Source organism: Homo sapiens, chromosome 7 (assembly GCF_000001405.40).
Source record: "Homo sapiens chromosome 7, GRCh38.p14 Primary Assembly".
NCBI lineage: Eukaryota > Metazoa > Chordata > Mammalia > Primates > Hominidae > Homo > Homo sapiens.
Genome location: NC_000007.14, coordinates 47,648,527 through 47,667,871, shown reverse-complemented (window position 1 = coordinate 47,667,871; position 19,345 = coordinate 47,648,527). Strand labels below are relative to the sequence as shown.

The following is a 19,345-nucleotide window of genomic DNA, read 5'->3' as shown; positions in this document are numbered from 1 at the left end:
TTTTGGTAGGGATGGGGTTTCACCATGCTGGCCAGGCTGGTCTCGAACTCCTGACCTCGTGATTCGCCCACCTCGGCCTCCCAAAGTGCTGAGATTACAGGCATGAGCCACTGCGCCTGGCCAACTCACCTTTTCTTTATGGAGAAAATGGGCTCTGTGTTTCGGCTGAGGGTCGGCTACATGCCTGCATGAACCAAGAGAGCGAGGCTACACGCACAGCAGCTCTGCAGACTCCAGGGCTGAATGCTCCTGAGGGCAGCACAAAGCCCTGTGGGAGCAGCAAAGGGGAGGGTCTGCCTCACACTCAGGTATTAGGAAGATCTGTGCCCCTTCTCCCTAAGGTAAAGTTTGACTTGGGCCTTAAAGAGGGTATCTGAGTTTGACAATGGAGAAGGACTCAAGACCAGGGGTCCTACAGGGCCTGTGTACCTCCAACAGGGAAGGCTGATCCCAGCTTTAACTCGGTTACCTCATCCTGCCACCATAATGCTGCAACCTCCTTGAGTGAGACTTCTTTTTTTTTTTGGACAGAGTCTCACTCTGTCACCCAGGCTGGAGTAGCTGGGACTAGAGGTATGCACCACTATGCCCAGCTAATTTTTTTGTATTTTTCGTAGAGACAGGGTTTCGCCATGTTGAACAGGCTGGTCTCGAACTTCTGACCTCAAGTGACCCACCCTCCTTGGCCTCCCAAAGTGCTGGGATTACAGGCATGAGCCACCATACCCGGCCGAGTGAGACTTCTTGCGTGGTACATGTTAGGGCCCCTGCAGGACAGAGCCAGCAGGTCGGCTTTATAGGACCAGTACATGCTGCTGAGGTCCTACTCACTAGGAAGTGTCACGGCCCTCAGCCTTAGGCCCCAGTACTCATCAAAAAGGGACTCATGGGTGAGAATGACCAACATGGCTTGTGTCCTTGTAGGCCAGTCAGGGAAAGCCTGTGCTGTAAGGCTGAGATCAATGTCCCACCTTCAGCCAAGGGCCAAGGCCCCCGGGTCTCCACATAGGGAAACCAGAAGAACTGGTCCCTTGGGCTCCTTGGAGTTACCAATCCAGAGGACTGCAGCAGGACTAGGTCCGCCTTTGCAGTTAACCATGTTTGATTACAGCACTTTAGAGTCCATAACTGCACTGTCTGAATAATCATCACAGCCGCTGCCATGAACTGAACTCTTACTATTCCAGGAATGGCTCATATTTTTCACAGACTTTTAACAGTATGATTCTTGAAGGTTTAGGTCATTCTGAAAGTTGATATGCCAATGACAAAAAAAAAATAGCAAGAAAAGAAAAACAACATTTTTTTTTATCATGAACCTACCTTCATTGTATCTGAATATACGTACCGTGCAAGAAGGCTCACTCGGCCTGGCGCGGTGGCTTATGCCTGCAATCCCAGCACTTTGGGAGGCTAAGGCAGGTGGATGTCATGTAGGAGCTGGTTGAAAACTGAATTCCCTTAAAGTACATGTGATGTTTGAGACATTCTGCTGGAATGTAGAATTGACATTCGGGCTGAGGCAGCATTTCCATAGTTCCTCCTGGCCCCGGTCAGTTATGCACAGATGGTACAAAGGGTTCATTCAGCAGGAGAACCTGAGGCCTAGCAGCCTGTCCAAACCCTGCAGCAGGTAAGGGGGGTTCTGTTCTCGTTTTCTTCTGCTGCCAATCCAGCACTTTATATTCTAAAGAAGAATGCAAATTTCCAAGAAAAGCCAGAGAATCAATTAACTAAAGTATCGTATTTTCCTTTGTAAGTGATTTTGAATCCTGTCTGGAACAAAGTGGGCACACATATATACATGCATGCATAACATGCATTAGCTAATGAATTATGGTAGAAGACCCTGCTTACTTATTTTCCATCAGTCAAGCTATAATCATGCTCATTAAATTTGTGATGTAAGAAATTGATTTTGTGGGAAAATTTGTTTTTGTTTTTGTTGTTTTCACCTTTTAGTGGGCAGATCGTTGGAGAAGGCCTGGAGAGGAGCAGCTGGCAGAGGCGGCTCCTTGAAAACAGAGCAGCACTCGTGGCCGGGCGCGGTGGCTCACACCTGTAATCCCAGCACTTTGGGAGGCCAAGGTGGGCAGATCACGAGGTCAGGAGATCAAGACCATCCTGGCTAACACGGTGAAACCCCGTCTCTACTAAAAATACAAAACGTTAGCCGGGCATGGTGGCGGGTGCCTGTAGTACCAGCTACTCGGGACGCTGAGGCAGGAGAATGGCGTGGACGTGGGAGGCAGAACTTGCAGTGAGCCGAGATGGCGCCACTGCACTCCAGCCTGGGTGACAGAGCAAGACTCTGTCTCAAAAAAAAAAAAAAGAACAAAAAAAAACAGAGCAGCACTCAACCACAATTGCCCCTCAGCCCTTCCACTGGTCCCATGAGAGTAAGCATTTCTCCCGGGCACAGTCTGTTTTCGTCTGTATCTGTATCCCCAGGCATCCGTCCATGCCTGACCCTTGCGAACTGCTCATAGTGCTGATGAATGAATGCACCGACGAAAGAATGAATTGGAAAACCCAGTTTCCTCAGTACTGTCAAATTCTAATTTCCAGTCCTCTTTAGCACCTGCTCAGACCAGCAAAGAACAGAACTTGAGCCACAGATGGTGATTGGATTTGGGCAACATGGCCCCATATATGGGTCTATCTCCCACTAGGAGCTGGTGCAAGTGACAGGGAAAAGTCCCAGAAAAGTCTTTCTTGGTGAATTAGCCTGTTTGTTGCAACACTTTTGTAGGTGTAATTCCATCTCTTTTTTCTCTAAAGGAACATGCAGAGAGAAATGAGGCGGGGACAATTGGCTCACATGTTGTCAGATGATGTCCCTTGAGAAGTCCCTGGACTGCTGAGACCTCTCCCATTGCCCAGTCCATAGTCAGAGAGGCCCCAGTATCCCCATGCTGCCCACCACGAGCTCCCTCTGTTGCAACAGTAACTTGTGCCCCAGCGCTTGCTCCCCCTAAGCTTCTTGTAAGTCTCTGTCTGACAGCCCTGTGTCTTCGCACAATGTCTGGTATGCCATGAGGATTTAATAAGTAACCAATAAGTGATAGGATGAATGTCTATTTGTTGGATTGAGCTGTGAGGGTGGTAAAGGTCTACATTCTCCGTGGATCTAAGGACTGCCTTTTTTTTTTTTTTGAGACGGCGTCTTGCTCTGTCACCCAGGCTGGAGTGCAGTGGTGCAATCTCAGCTCACTGCAAGCTCTGCCTCTCGGGTTCACGCCATTCTCCTGCCTCAGCCTCCTGAGTAGCTGGGACTACAGGCGCCCGCCACCATGCCCGGCTAATTTTTTTGTATTTTTAGTAGAGACAGGGTTTCACCATGTTAGCCAGGATGGTCTCGAACCCCTGACCTTGTGATCTGCACACCTCGGCCTCCCAAAGTGTTGGGATTACAGGCATGAGCCACTGCGCCTGGCCCAGAACTATCTCTTAGTCATCTTGATACTGTTAGCATCTAGAGTTGTTCTTCAGTAAACAGCAAATAAATGCATTCCTCAGATAAATATCTTTCAATGCCTTAAAAATGAATCTAATTTTATTGTTGAGGTTATTCAGTTATAGCAATCCTTTAAAGACAATGAAAAGGGAATAAACCCTAAAACCAAAAGACCTGGGTTAAAATCTCACTTCTATGTAGGGAATTTGGTCCCATTCTTAGACTTAGCCTCCAGCTCAGAATTGGACAGAGAGAGGTTGGAAGAGACCCAGAGAGGCTGTCCTGTGGAAAATGAACATCTTGAGTGTCTTGAGAAAATTAGCAAACCTTGCTGAGCTTCAGTTTCTTCCCATGTAAAATAATTCCTGCTATTGTCCATGCAGGAAGCATTGTATTCTGCACAGCCAGCAACAGGAACAGCAGAAATGTCATTCTTTCCCCTGTGTTTCAGTGTCTTCCAATTTCAGATAATGAGTTTGGACCAGATGGTCGCTAATGGTTATTCCAGCTCAATATTTGCTAATTTTCTAAAAACTGAAGAAAGGAGCTTGGGGGTGTGTTTTGGGGCAATGTCTTGCAAGACTGAGACATGAGGGGGACATCAGATCGGGGGCCTTGGGGAGTCAAGGTCAGGCCTAAGTTATATTCTTGCCCGTCTCTGCCCTCTTCCTCCCCCGACCTCGCTGTCCTCATAGCCACCCTATTTTAATATGCTTGGCCTGATCCCCAGCTAGATCAATTTCATTTCAGGAACTTTGATACCTGAGCTGTGGCTCTGGAAACTATATCTCCAGAGGCAACACAATTCACCAAAAACTAATCGCTGGTGTCAATTGGTATTTAAAAAGTTAGACACAATTTCAACCAAAAGCAGATGCTTGACATTTTAATGGGATGTTACCACATTTATGAATTCCGATACGCCTGAAAAAGTATTTCTTAAGGAATTTAAGAGACCCTTCTTTGTTACTTTTATGAACCCTGAGGCATACGGGTTAGCTACTCATCTTCTAGTAGTTCACAGACTCTGCAAAGCATGTGGCATGATGGAAAGAATGAGACCTGAAATGGGAAGGAAAGCCCCATGTTCAAAAGTTCATTCCTTCTCCTACTAATTTGTTACTTAAATGTCGGTTTCTTCACAGTGGAAATAGATCTTTTTTGCTCACCTTGTAGGATGCCATATGGCTTGGAAGTAAGACAATCCAAACACCGAGCCTCACACCTGGCTCTGGAACAGAACTGTTAGCTCTGCTGCTTATCACTCTGCTGTTCTCTGATCATAAAATGATTCATTGTTGGCTGGGCACAGTGGCTCACGCCCGTAATCCCAGCATTTTGGGAGGCCGAGGCAGGTGGATCACGAGATCAGAAGTTCAAGACTAGCCTAGTCAAAATATTGAAACCCCGTCTCTACTAAAAATACAAAAATTAGCCATGTGTGGTGGCAGGCACCTGTAATCCCAGCTACTCGGGAGGCTGAGGCAGAGAACTGCTTGATCCCGGGAGGCAGAGATTGCAGTGAGCCAAGATCATGCCACCGCACTCCAGCCTGGGCAACAGAGTGAGACTCCATCTGTCTCTCTCTCTCTCTCTCTCTCTCTCTGTGTGTGTGTGTATATATATATATATATATATATATATATATATATATATATATATATATATATATATGGCAAAAATGGATAGCTCCTTATCACTTTTAATTTGCCTCTCTCTGAATCTTCTGCTGTGTTTGACGATGTTATAGGCTGGCATCATGCCCAATTTGGCCAAGAAGAATTGGTCTCCTGGTCAGGAAGGTCTTTTCCCTACAAATTCATGGAATGACCAAGGGACTCTCCAGATGTATCTAGTTAAAAGAATAATCTGTCCGTCCTGCACAGCACACTTCCTATCCACATTTAGAATGTTTATGCTGAGAAAGCACCACTGTTTATATTCAATTGACCAAGCTCAGGAAATGGTTCATCAAATTGGCCAGCCATTTAATTTTCTTGGGATACAGTCTTCATGATTATGCAGTTCCTAAATTTAATAAGTCTGACTATGCACAAATTTTCTTTCTTTCTTTTTTTTTTTTTTATTTTGAGACGGAGTCTTGCTCTGTCGCCCAGGCTGGAATGCAGTGGTGCGATCTTGGCTCACTGCAACCTCCGCCTACCGAGTTCAAGGGATTCTTGTGCCTCAGCCTCATGAGTAGCTAAGATTTCAGGTGCATGCCACCACGCTGGCTAATTTTTGTATTTTTAGTAGAGATGGGGTTTCACCATGGTGGCCAGGCTGTTCTCGAACTCCTCCTGACCTCAGGTGATCTGAGCGCCTCGGCCTCCTGAAGTGCTGGAATTACAGGCGTGAGCCACCACATCCAGCCTATTTGTTTTAACTGATATCTTCGTTTCTGGATGTGAGCTCAGCAGATGAGTTCCTTGCTCATATCTGGGAGGGAGAGGGCCATGTGAAAACATTACTTGATGAGTTTTATGAAGGACGTAGGAGGGGAACGACAGTGGGGCCCTGTCCATCCTGAAGGGGACAGAGCGGTATTCTTGGAGGACAGCACTAAGCAAGTCTTGAGGCATAAGCAGGGCACTGCAATAATGAACACCTTCTTACACGTTTCAAAAAGGAAAAGTCAATGTGTTGCTCTTCCTAAAATGTTTTCGGAATTGTTTGTCATTAGCTATGTGTTGCTATGGATTTGAATTCTTTCCATAATTAAAATAAACTCTAACAAGTAAAAAAATATTTTTTAAAAAACAAGATGATGGGGAAAGGCTCTTTAATGTACCCTTTGTGTTTGTAACAGAAAGGAAACAGAACAGAAAACAAACCATCGAATTGAAACCAGCACTTTCCTGCAGGTTAATGAGACATCCTCGCAAACACTAGAAAAAGCAGGTCACACCTCGGTGAGGATCCCATCTACCCACACACATCCCTCTTTAAAGGCCCTGTAATAATGAATCTGCTTTTGTGAGTGAGCAGACATGCCCCACCCCAGTCTTCCTCTAGGACTTTTCCCCCTGCTGTGAGCTGATCCCTGAAGCTGGAGGGGCTGTACTTTCCCACCTAAACCATTATCTCCCCTCCACTCTCAGCGCAGGGCAAGTGCCAACCTCACTCCACTACCCTCAGATGTCAGGCAGGCCGTCAGCCCAGGAGCTAGGAATGCAGGGGTGAAGGCTGCCTTTTCCAAACAGGCAAATGGAATAACTCTGACAAGAGTTGGTGTCTGGCAAACCTAGTGACATCCAGCAAACCTAGCCTGTGGGCAAGATGAGTGTCCTGTCCTGTTGTCTGGCGACTCTGGTGACTCTCCAGTATCAGACGAAAGAAATATCTCCCTTCTGAGACAATGTACACCTGCCTGAACTGGCCTGAAACAAGAGGTGGTAAAATTTCTCCCTCGGTAACATGTGGGTGATGGGATTCTGGATGAAATTTTTTCTATTATCTTAACTTTCAGTGCACTGATTAGATTGTTATTACATTTAATTGGGGGGAGAAACTGGAAGAAGGCTATAGAACTTTTTTTTTTTTTTGAGACTGAGTCTAGCTCTGTCACCCAGCCTGGGGTGCAGTGGCGCAGTCTCGGCTCACTGCAACCTCTGCCTCCCATGTTCATGCAATTCTCCTGCCTCAGCCTCCTGAGTAGCTGGGATTACAGGTGTATGCCACCACGCCCGGCTAATTTTTGTATTTTTAGTAGAGACGGGATTTCACCATGTTGGTCAGGCTAATCTCGAACCCCTGACCTTGTGATCCGCCCACCTTGGCCTGCCAAAGTGCTGGGATTACAGGGGTGAGCCACTGCGCTCGGCCAGAATTTTTTATTACTATGCACATGTTGCAGGAAAATGAAAAGTTAGCCTGCCTTTCCAGTATATGAAAATGTGAATTGCTTTGTGTATATGTTTGAAAAGATGTACAGGAATATATACTTAAAGTCCTGCCATAACCAGCTGCTCTTGAGCATTTGTTTCAGTGGGCACCCCCCACCCCCATCCTGCACTCTTTAGGCTGCCACTGGCTGCCCCCACTGCACAGTCCTCTGGAGACCACCCCGGAGGCTGTGTGCAGGGTCAACCAGGAACCCCACCTGCCCACCCCAGGACCAGGGCAAAGGTCCAGGAACCCACACCCCCTCCCCAACCCATGACACCTACAGCCACGGGCATTGTGGTCCTTGTCCCCACTGCCCAGTCACTGCCTGGTGCCGCCTGAGGTTGCCTTCCTTTGGCTGGTCTGGGCAGGGCCCTCAGGAGGGAGGCCAAGATGTGCCCATGTGAGTGCCTGCTGAGGCGACAGGTAGGGCAGGCAAAGGGCAGGAGATGAAGGAGCAGGGATGGTGCAGGGAAGGAAGGGCTCTGGAGACGGTCGCAATGAGGGGTGGGGATGCCCCTGGGTGGAGGCATGGAGGGAACCTGCATCCAGCAGGGATGCTGCCGGGTGAGAAGGCTCAAGGGAGGGGCGAGTGTAGGTGGGCTGCCCCACCACAGGCTGCTTCCTGAGTCTGGCCTGTCCGTCCTTGGTGGCTCTGGCTCCCCAGGCCCCAAGAGCAGAGGCCAGCATGGACACGACCCAAGTAAGCAGGCAGCACTTGTGGGGTAGACAGGGACGGGGTAAGGAGTGCTGTCACTGCTCTGAGCAGCTGCACAGAAGCAGGCCCTACAGGCAGCCCTCTGGCTGGAGTTCTAAGGGCCTGGAAGAAGCGGGTGGCTAGGAGGCAGTTCTTGGCATCCTGGCCTCCAGGAAGGCAGGTACACACTGTGGGAGCACCAGCCTTGTCCTCCAGAGCATCACAATTCAGCGCTGAGTCAGGATGTAGATGGTTGTGGGAGGAGACCTTGAGCAGCCAGTGAGCCTCTGTGCACCAGGGCACCCTGTAGCCCCTGCCTTTACCGGGGATCAAGAACGAAGGCCCAGCCAGGATTGCTGGCTATAATCACCCTCACCCAGCACAGCTAGAAAGCTGTCCCCACCCAGAGGACGGGGATGCCCAGAGTGCCTGGAGGATGTAGACCGTGGAGGATCTGAGCCCACTCACCCGGAGTGACACCTGGGCTTCTGCAGAGCCAGTCAGGACATCAGGACACTACGTTGAGTTTCTGGGATCTGGTGGGGAAGCATGGGCATCCCACTCAAGAGATTTCAATGCAGCTCCACACCTCTGGCCATGAGCCCTAGTTCCTGCCTTCCCTCTCAGGGGTCCCCTTTCCTTTTTTGCAGCTCACAATGAGTATCCAGGCCTGAGCATCCTTCCAGGGGTCAGTGAAACCATTTATGTATAGCACCTTGCACCGTGCCCAGCTGAGCCAGTGAGATCCAGTGTCTTCCAAGCCACCAGCCTTCTCTAGGGTGATTCCACATGAATTCTGGGCAGGTCCAGCCTCACTGATTGCCTTGAACAGAAATAGCAGCTCCCTGCTTCCCCAGCAGGCTCTGAACACTTCTCTGCATTTTTTAAATGCTGCAGGCACTCCTCTGAAAGACTCAGCATCAGCTCTGTGTAAAGCAAGAGGGGTTTTAGTAAATCCCGAACCACTCAATACCCTCTCCAGGATATATCCTCCACCCACCATGGAATTTACAAATGAGTAACAAGTAAGAAGGTGTGCTGGCTTAGGGGCACCCAGCCCTGAACTCAAATATTACCTCTTTGGTGAATAGCTGTGTGGCCTGGGCAAGTTGCTTAACTTCTCTGAAGTTGTTTCCTTACCTGCACAATAAGAGCAGGCATTTAGGAGAAGGTTAAACTGAATAGCATCCATGAAAGTACTAGGTATACTTCCTGGTGACTATGAGCTTCCTTTTCCTAAGAGCACGGGAACTTTTCCTGTAATCTAGAAATGGGAATATCTGAGGTAACTCAGGTGGGGATTCTAATTTCCATTCAGCCATGGAGGGTGCATCAATGGCCTGGAACAAAGCCACCCATTCACCAGCCACATTTGGGGGAACCTCCCTTGTACCAACCCATAGATAAGGCACTGGGAATGTAAACATGAATATGGCTTCTGCTCTCGGGTAGCTGTCATTGTGGGGGTCTGGGATTGGGGTACATACAAAAGGGTAAAAACCAACTAGAACACAAGGAGATAAGTGCAGCAACTGCCATACTCATCTAGTGCTTACCCTGTGTCAAGTGTTAAATACTTCCCACATTTCCATTCAATGAATGATCACACATCCCTACAAGGAACTCAGATATTAACCCCATATTTTTTTTTAAGACAGAATCTCACTCTGTCACCCAGGCTGGGGTGCAATGGTGCGATCTTGGCTCACTGCAATCTCCGCCTCCCGGGTTCAAGCAATTCTGCTGCCTCAGCCTCCCGAGTAGCTGGGACTACAGGCATGCACCGCCACGCCCAGCTGATTTTTGTATTTTTAGCAGAGACGGGGTTTCACCATGTTGGCCAGGATGGTCTCCATCTCCTCACCTCGTGATCTGCCTGCCACGGCCTTCCAAAGTGCTGGGATTACAGGCATGAGCCACGCACCCAGCCATTAACCCCATTTTAAGGATAAGAAGAGTGAGGCACAGAGATGTTCCAATTTTGACAGCTACAGAGCGGCAGAGTAAGATATAGACCCAGGCCGTCCCGCACCCAGTTCATGCCCTTGACCACTTGTACCAAAGACACTTGACTAATTCAATCAGCAAGTACACAGGCCTCCAGAGGAGGGAAGTTTAATTCTATGTAGAATCCTGCAGGCTGAGTTCGGGAGTAAATAAGGCCTTGATGCACAGAGAAGGTGGGAGAGGCATTCCAGAGAGAAGGCACAGGTTGAGCGAAGATGCAATGGCAAGAAGCTTGAAGGCCAAAGGTCACATAGAGGGACAGTCCCGGAGGGGATGTGAGGAAGTCAGGACAGGGACAAAATGGGAATGGAGGCCTCCAAAGTCCCACTCACTTCATTACAGGAGAATCTAATTACGCTATTCATAGATGGGAAAAGGCAGCCAGGCAGCAGAGCAGCAGCGCCAAAGGAACAGAGGAGATCAAGGGGAAGGTGTCCGTGTCTGCAAGATGAGGTGCTCAGAGCAGGGGGTGCAGGGCTAGCTGGGAGACGCGTCTGGAAGGGCAGTGGGTGAGGGCCAGAAGTGGCTACATCTTGGAGGTCACGGGGAGCCCTTGACATACCCCCAACACCACCTACCAAGACTGACACTGTCAGGTGTGTGGCAAGCAGCATGCACAGTGGGCTACTGTGAAAAGACGCATGTGCTCAAGTGCATGTGTGTACAGAAAGAGACGTCCAAGGGTATCAACAACACCTTAGTGAGAATATCTTGAGGCTCTTGAGACAGGTTGACCATTTTCTTTCTTTTTTTTGCGGGGGGGGACGGAGTCTTGCTCTGTTGCCCAGGCTGGAGTGCAGTGGCACGATCTCCACTCACTGCCACCTCCGCCTCCTGGGTTCACGACATTCTCCTGCCTCAGCCTCCGGAGTAGCTGGGACTACAGGCGCCCACTACCACGCCCGGCTAATTTTTTATATTTTTAGTAGAGACGGGATTTCACCGTGTTAGCCAGGATGGTCTCGATCTCCTCACCTCGTGATCCACCTGCCTCGGCCTCCCAAGGCCCTGGGATTACAGGCGTGAGCCATCACGCCCGGCCATTTTCTGATACTTTTCTTAAGGCTTGCTAGTACCTTCAGGCTGCTGTAACAAAGTACCATGGACTGGATGGCTCGCACACAACAGAAATTTATTTCTTGCAGTTCTAGTGGCTGAAAGTCCAAGATTAAGGTGCCAGGACATTCGCTGTCTGGGGAGGGCCCACTTTCTCGTTCATTGATGATGCCATCTCCCTGTGTCTTCACATGACAGAAGGGGTGAGTGAGCTCTAAGAGCACTTATCCCATCACGCAAGTCGAGCACTGAGAAGCTATGCAGTCCCTGAAGGCCCACTCCTGGACAGAAATCTCCGTGTTTCTCTTTGTTCTGGTCTTGACTGAATCTAAACAAGTGAAAGGCAGTTCTTGAGCCTGTGTAACCCCCTAACCTGGCCCAAGTTCCAAACACACCTGGATCTTCGCCTTTTTCATCTGTTAATTGTGGCCAATAAAAATACCTTCCTTGGCCGGACGCGGTGGCTCACGCCTGTAATCCCGGCACTTTGGGAGGCCGAGGCGGGCGGATCATGAGGTCAGGAGATCGAGACCATCCTGGCTAACACGATGAAACCCCATCTCTACTAAAAATACAAAAAATTAGCCGGGCGTGGTGGTGGGCACCTGTAGTCCCAGCTACTCGGGAGGCTGAGGCAGGAGAATGGTGTGAACCCGGGAGGCGGAGGTTGCAGTGAGCCGAGATCGCGCCGCTGCACTCCAGCCTGGGCTACAGAGCGAGACTCCGTCTCAAAAGAAAAAAAAAAACTTCCTCCCAGGTTTTAGTCGTTTTTTCCCCGGCACCCCTGCTTGCCACGTGGTAAATGTTCAATACAACTAATATCAATAATGACTCAAGTTTATTGATTACCACCTCTCTCTTTCCTCCATGGAGTGCTTACTGGGAGGATGGAGTCTCTTGGGGTGCGTGGCTTTCCCATACATCAGCATCAGCCATCGCGAGACCCCACGGGCCAGCAGTGTGGACGGGGAGACAAGTGAGGCCTCCCAGCCAGAACAGCTCAGCCTGCCAGGAGAAGCAGAAACCCCCCAAAGTAATCACTTCTCGAGTGCCTTCGAGACCCCAGATGTTGGGAAAACAACTATTTTCCCTTGTGTAAGACATGGCCAGTTTCTTTCCATCTCCTAAACAAATCAAATACAACCCTGAGCCCTCCTCCTTCCAGCCTGGCAGAAAATCCAGCCTTGACATTCTGTGGACTCTCTCTGCCCCACAGGGAGTTACCAAAGCCCTGGGAGCTTTTTCAAATTTTGATGGATAGCAAACATTTTAAAAAAAGACAAAAAATCAAATTATCATGAAGTGGACACGCCCATGTAACCACTTCCCAGGTCCAGAAAGAACAACAGTCATCCAGGACCACCCCCACATCCCTCCCAGCATCCACACCTCCCAGGCCCCACAAAGACCACTGTCCTGACCGCTGCCTCCCTCCCTGGGGCCCGGCCAGAGCCGTCTTCCTTCTGTTGACTCTGTTGGTGCCATCCTCATCCCACTGCCCGGGTGACTCGTCTGCCAAATGCAAGAATCGAATGGGGAGAGGAGTCTAGCGTACCCCCTGAACCCTGAGCCCCAAAGCAGGAGTTTTAGCCACATAGCTTTGGGTTTTCCCAGGATCCCTCGGGTGCCTGGGGCGCAGGATGCCAGGGTATAGGAGCTCTGCTCTCATGACGGGTGAATCCCCTGGTTCTCCTGTAAGTGCAGAGATGCTAGGGTAGTTCCCACACTCAAATATTCCCCGAGCCAGGGCTGGGCGCCTGTGGGAATCCCAGCAATCCTACAGTTTCACTGAAGTCCTATAATTTCCCGTACCCTGCCTCTATTTCAGGGACCTGCTGCTCAGAATGTGGAAATGCAGATGTGGTTTGCTTGTGTTGCCATTGTTCTCGTGAGCTGTAAGGCAGTGATTACAGGCTCCGTGGGCGGCAGGGAGCAGCCAACTGGATTGACGGCACATTCTTAGCTTATTTTAAAATCAGTAACAGCATTAATAAAAATCCTGTGCCTTCCCATTTACTTTTTCTTCCAAAAGAAAAAATACTGTACTTCCTAGCAGTCTGTGGCTGGAGTGGGAAGAAAGGAGAAATCATTTGAAAGTGTGAGGAATATCAGAGGAAATTTTAGAAAGGACCCTAGGCCATCTCTAGCTTTCTCATAGCAGTGACCCTGTTCCTCCCCCCAGATTGGGACACTTTAATTTTTTTTTTTTTTTTCAAGACAAAGGAGTCTCGCTCTGTTGCCCAGGCTGGAGTACAGTGGTGTGATCTCGGCTCATTGCAACCTCCACCTCCCAGGTTCAAGCAATTCTTGTGTCTCAGCCTCCTGAGTAGCTGGGATTACAGGTGTGTGCCAGGACACCCAGCTAAGTTTTTGGTATTTTTAGTAGAGAAAGGGTTTCACTGTGTTGGCCAGCCTGGTCTCGAACCTGTAACTTCAAGTGGTCAGCCCACCTCGGCCTACCAAAGTGCTGGGATTACATGCGTGAGCCACCGGCCCGGATGATTCACTTCTTAATAAATCATCCAACCCAATGATTTGGTTCCAAAAGAAACAGATAACATTCAAACACTGTTTCCTCTAGTTCATACTGTAAGACAATGTATTTTAGATACATTTTGCTTGAAATCCACAAACTTGTCAAATACCCACCTGGGTAGAGGAGGACAGCAGAACTGAAGGGCAAGAGGGCTCAGCCAGACTTCCCTCCCCGAGCTCCCGGGAGAAGGTTAATCACTTCGATCTAAACCAGGCAGGGCAGAGACCTAGGAGGCAGGAAGTCAGTTTAAAGGATGTGACATTGGCATTTGCCCAGCGGGTGATGGGAGAGGGAGGTTGAGGTCGTAACACTTCATTTTCATTCTGCATCTTACAAAGACTCCGACCTCTGAGCTAAACTGACTTGGGCCAGCTCCCACCTAGTGAACCTCAGCTCCTCCTCCTCAAGTGAGGCTGTCACCTTGCAGGTAAGCAGAGAGTTTGTGAGTCTAAAAGGAGAGAAACTCTAGGAGAGGAAAGGCTCTGTAGCCATGGGCCTGGAGGAGCCTGAGGCTCTATTTGTGGAATGAGTGTGTTAGAGGAACTGGGGGTCTGGACCAGATAAGAAAGTCCCCAGCTTTAGGCAGTACATGTGTCCAGTAGAGGCAGCAGACAGACTTGCTGGCCAGAGGGGCTGAAGCCATCATTCGGGCCCCAAGGCCAGAGGGTCCAAGGCACATGATAGAGATGGCCGGCGTGACTGAGAGGCATGAAGTTGGAAATAAAAAATAAATTATGGAATCAGAGAGAAGTATGGGTTGTTTTCCATGGACTATGCCTGATATTCTTGTTCAATTTAACCTGATTTAGAACTGGTTCAGTTTTATCATTTTATTTGTACAAACTTATGGAGTACAAGTGTAACTTTGTTACATAGATATATTGTTGTATTAGTCTGTTTTCACACTGCTATAAAGATACCACACAAGATTGGGTAATTAAAAAAAAGAAAGAGGCTTAATTGACTCACAGTTCTGCATTGTTGGGGAGATCTCATGAACCTTACAATCATGGCAGAAGGGGAAGCAGTCACCTTCTTCAGAAGGCAGCAGGGGAGAGAGTGCAAGTGAAGGAGTGACTGCCCAACACTTATAAACATATCAGATCTTGTGAGAACTCCCTCACTATCACTAGAACAGCATGGGAAAAGCTGCCTCCATGATCCAATCTCCCTCCACCAGGTCCCTCCCTCGACACAACATGTGGGGATTACAGTTCCAGATGAGATTTGGGTGGGGACACAGAGCTGAACCATATCAATTGTGTAGAGGTATTTTAGTGTATCCAACATCCAAATAATGTACATTATACCTATTAAACAATTTCTCATCATCCACCCCTCTTCTTCCCTCCACCCTTCTGAGTCTCCCTTCTGAGTCTTCATGGAACTGGTTCATTTTTGTGTGAAACTGTAAACACAAACCACTCCCAAGGACTTGGAATTTCCAGAGTGGCCCCCTTCTGCCTCTTAGGACTCAATTGCAAACCACATACAAGAAAAGGTGATCGTACTGTCTTATTTTAAGTCTCAATTTCATCATCTCCAAGCTTGGCAACAAAGCAAAGGACAAGAAAGAAAAGTATGAAGCTGTCTTTTTTAGAAAAAGAAAGAAGCATCAGGCCAGACAAGGTGGCTCACGCCTGTAATCCTAACACTTTGGAAGACCAAGCAGGCGAATCACTTGAGGTCAGGAGTTTGATCCCGGCCTGGCCAAAATGGTGAAACTCCGTCTATACTAAAAATGCAAAAATTAGACCAGGCGCTGTGGCTCACGCCTGTAATTCCAGATCGCACCACTGCACTCCAGCCTGGGCAACAGGGCGAGACTCCGTCTCAAAAAAAAAAAAAAAAATTAGAAACTTCAAAAGTACCCTTTGAAAAAAGTCTTGTTACCTCATTTTATTTATTATGTATGTATTTATTTATTTATTTTGAGATGGAGTCTCACTCTATCACCCAGGCCAGAGTGCAGTGGTATGATCTCGCCTCACTGCAACCACCATCTCCTGGGTTCAAGTGTTCTCCCTCCTCAGCCTTCCGGGTATCTGGGATTACAGAAGTGTACCAGCACGCCCAGCTAATTTTTGTATTTTTGTAGAAATGGGCTTTTGCCATGTTGGCCAGGCTAGTCTTGAACTCTTGACCTCGGGTGATCTGCCCACCTCGGCCTCCCAAAATGCTGGGGTTACAGGCATGAGCAACCATGCCCAGCCATTACCTCATTTTATAAATGAGAAAATTGAGCCTCAGGATTCTAAACGGCTTCCTCAAGGCCAGAAAAGTGAGTGACACTCCAGCATCAATCCCACGCTCAGCCTCAACCCTGTTGCTTCTCCCAAGCCTAAGTTTGCTCTCAAACTTTTTCCCTAGAGAATCTCTACTTACCAAGGCTCTGAGGATAGACCTGCGTACACAATTCAGATTTGTCCAACACATACATGAAATATTTTAGATGATTCATCGTTTATTTTACAAAATTCTTGTGAGTTGGGCATTTAGTCCATAATTCATGTGGGTTTATTTTGAGGTTTTGTGTTGAAATGATTAGATAACAACTGGAGTTCCCCTGAGAAAAGCTGCAAACATCTAGACATCACATCCTGGAGCCTGCTGTCCTTAGGGATATTTTAGCAGGGCTGGTAAGAATAGCAGAGGTGTCCTAAGGCCTCGTGTACCCATGGGTTCCAGTAAAATTGGCCAATGGGAGGAGGAGGGGCACCAAGGCTGCGTGATGTGTGGCCCAGCCCCTGGGAGCTGCAAGACACTGGATGAGTGGCTTTCTGAATCTCAGTTTCTGATCCTGTTAAAGAGGGCTAATTACCCTGCCCCTGCCCTGCTTGAGTTTATGAGAGGGTCCAAATGAGATTGATACATGTAAAACTGCCTCACAAAGATGGTAGAAACCTTTGATTTTGGCCCAGTAGGGTGAGAGGAGCCTCCCATTACTCAAGGCCAGTGACAGAGCCATCTGTCTTGCTGTGGAGCTGGCCATGGGCATTCCCACTGAGCCTCAAAATAGGGGCAACAGGCAAGAAGTGATGCTTCCAGGGTTGGCTCCAGGGCCTGGGCCACCCCTTGACACTGTTGCCCTTAATGAAGGTCTCTGCCCAGGAGCAGACAACAAACAGGGTGGGTGAAGGGGCAGCCTGAGATAATAAGCCCAGAGGGGCTGATCCTCGCTTCTAAGGAGCCCAGAGGGAGGAGGAAAGGTCCAGAGTACCCCGCACAGGAGGAATGCAGTGCCAATTAAGTGCCTGCTGCACACCATCCTCTTCCTAATTGACACAGCACTCCCAAGAAAAGCACCTTTCTCGTCTTTTAAAGTTGAGAATACAGAGATTCAGGGCTGCCATTACTTACCCAAGGGCACCAGCTGGCCAGTGGCCAATGTGGGTCTCAGCTCTGTGTACAGCTCGGCTTGGAAATGCATATTACCTCTTGGGAGAGCCGGTTTCTGGCTCAGGTGCCAGGATTCAAAAGGAGGAGATGTCCTCTCTGCTCCTCTGAGGCCTCCACCAACAGGAGGCTGAGGGGCTACCACCCCTCACACTAAGGCCCACTCCTCTGCAGAGTGAGATTGGCACTTGGAAGGTGAACCTGGTTCCCAACCACAATTCCGAGGTCACTCTAGGCTCAGAGGCGGCCCCCTTCTTCAAGGAGCAATGTGTAACTGGAGGCCTCTTGAGGCTAGGCCAATTTGGCAAAACCAGAGAGAGCCGACTCAACTGATCGGGTAGTTGCAGGTCTGAAGATTGCAGCTTGTGGGTGCTGCTCACAATGTTAGAAAACTGGTAACATGCAGTCACCTGGATGAAAAATGAGGGACTCTAGCCTCAGGGTAAGGGTAAAGTCACCCCAGTGATCCCGATAGTTTGTAAGGAGGCAAACTAGCTGGGCCGCTGTAGCGAGAATTTGGAGCAGACACTTCCCTCGATGGGCTGAGGTAATTACAGATACGAGGGATGTCTTTGCTGGTGGAGAAATGCCTCATCCTCCTGATTTAACAGTCACTAAGCACTTGCAAGTCTGAGAGAGGCTGCTGTCGGGACTGCAGGGACAAGTGGGATTCAGTACCTTCCTTGGAGAAACAAAAGGCCAGCTTTTGGTCACAGAAGGGAAGGCAGGATCCATGCATGATTCACAGTCATTACGCATTGATTGGTTCCCCAGCATCCTTCCAGGTGGTCAACGAGTTTCATTCTCTGTTGTCATGATGAACTCATTAATTTTAAAATGGTTGATTTGCCCCAGTCCAGAGCAGTCTTTTTTCTTTGTTGCTGCTCAAATTATTCCCTCTGTGGCGACTGGAAGCGTGTTTGAGTTGGGTTTTCAATCATTTAACATTGCCGCCATGAGCCTCAGAGAGCGTCCTTCTTTAATGATTAAGATGTTCCAGGCCCCACCCAGGCCAGGAATTAGGGGTTGTCCAAGGTGTCGTGGTGCTTTGGTGACTCGAGAGCACAGTCTGGCTGTAGCCCAGCCACCTCACCAAACCCACCAGGAGACAAACTCACCTAGAGACCATTCACACCCAAAGTTCTAAAGGTTTTTAGACTGAGACAGCCACCTTAGGAGAACCACTTAAAAATGCACAATACTGTGCTCCACTCTCAGCAACTGCAATACAGAGGGTCCAGGTTCAATGCCCAGATCTGTTTTGGGGGTTTTTTGTTTGTTTATTTGTTTGTTTGAGACAAGGTCTTGTTCTGTGGCCCAGGCTGGACTGAGTGGTGTTCCACTCCACTCCATTGCAGCGTGATCATGGCTCACTCCAACCTGGACCTCCCAGGTTCAAGGGATCCTCTCACCTCAGCCTCCTGCCTCCCTGTAGCTAGGACTACAGATGTGCCACCATGCTAGGCTAATTTTTGTATTTTTTTTGTAGAGATGTTGCCCAGGCTGGTCTCAAACTCCTGGCTCACGTGATCCTCCCGTCTCAGCCTCCTAAAGTGCTGGAATTACAGGCGTGAGCCACTGTGCCTGGCCCCAGAATCTTTTTTTAACATACTCCTCAATAATTCTCAAGGGCTATTATGGGCTTTCAGCAGGAGAGACCCTTGGGAACCACTGAAGGCTGTTGGTAAGGGAGTGCATGGGAGGCCTTTCTTTTGACTTTTCAGAGGAGCAAAAACCCCGAGAGATTAACAACAATCACTACATAGAATATTTTATGCTGGACCCTCAAGTCAGCATTTCAAAAAGTTTTCTCTGTCCTGCCTGGATAATTTTCTGTTTCTATTTTCCTGGGGTGGTAAAAGAAGTGGATAATTTATCAATTTCTTTCCAAACCCAAATGTCTCACCATCTCAAGCCACCCTAAATCTATTTCTGAATTGGGTGACAATCTTCTGATATGGACACATATATTTTTTAAACTTCCGTATAACTTTCTCAACAAAAATAAAGGAGAAACCTTGGAATGGAAACCCATCTATCTCCTGTGGTTTGGTTTGATGAAATCTTACTGAAACATTAAACCCACACATCCGTCTTGGGTAAAGGGAGGGAAGGGACTGAGAGTCCCTCCCAGCATGTCTGGGAGGCTTTCCCATAACTCTGGTCTCCACGGATCTGCCTGGGAAAGTATGGATTTGTAGTCATTTCTGTTTTCAGTGTTTGTTTGTTTTTTTTGTTTTGTTTTGTGTTTTGCTGTTTCATAATCCAGAAGCACACCAGCTACTCTTTCTTCGTGCGGTATTGTCTAGAG

The 19,345-nt window shown here is 48.5% G+C and overlaps 1 long non-coding RNA gene across 1 annotated transcript, besides 1 other annotated feature; it reads right to left on the bottom strand.

Annotated features, from left to right (window-relative positions):
* Nucleotides 1-6,223: 6,223 nt before the first annotated feature.
* LINC02902 (long intergenic non-protein coding RNA 2902) lies at nt 6,224-12,628 on the bottom strand. Its single transcript, NR_171030.1, has 3 exons — nt 12,524-12,628; nt 9,116-9,179; nt 6,224-8,965 (listed from the first exon to the last, which is right to left on the bottom strand). It is a non-coding gene; the product is annotated as a long intergenic non-protein coding RNA 2902 (long non-coding RNA).
* Nucleotides 7,473-8,013: an enhancer, noted in NCBI's record as "H3K27ac-H3K4me1 hESC enhancer chr7:47699457-47699997 (GRCh37/hg19 assembly coordinates)". NCBI's record gives its function as "activates a minimal SCP1, AML or CMV promoter by ChIP-STARR-seq in primed H9 embryonic stem cells {active_cell/tissue: H9 hESC(primed)}" and the evidence as "EXISTENCE:reporter gene assay evidence [ECO:0000049][PMID:30033119]".
* Nucleotides 12,629-19,345: the final 6,717 nt, after the last annotated feature.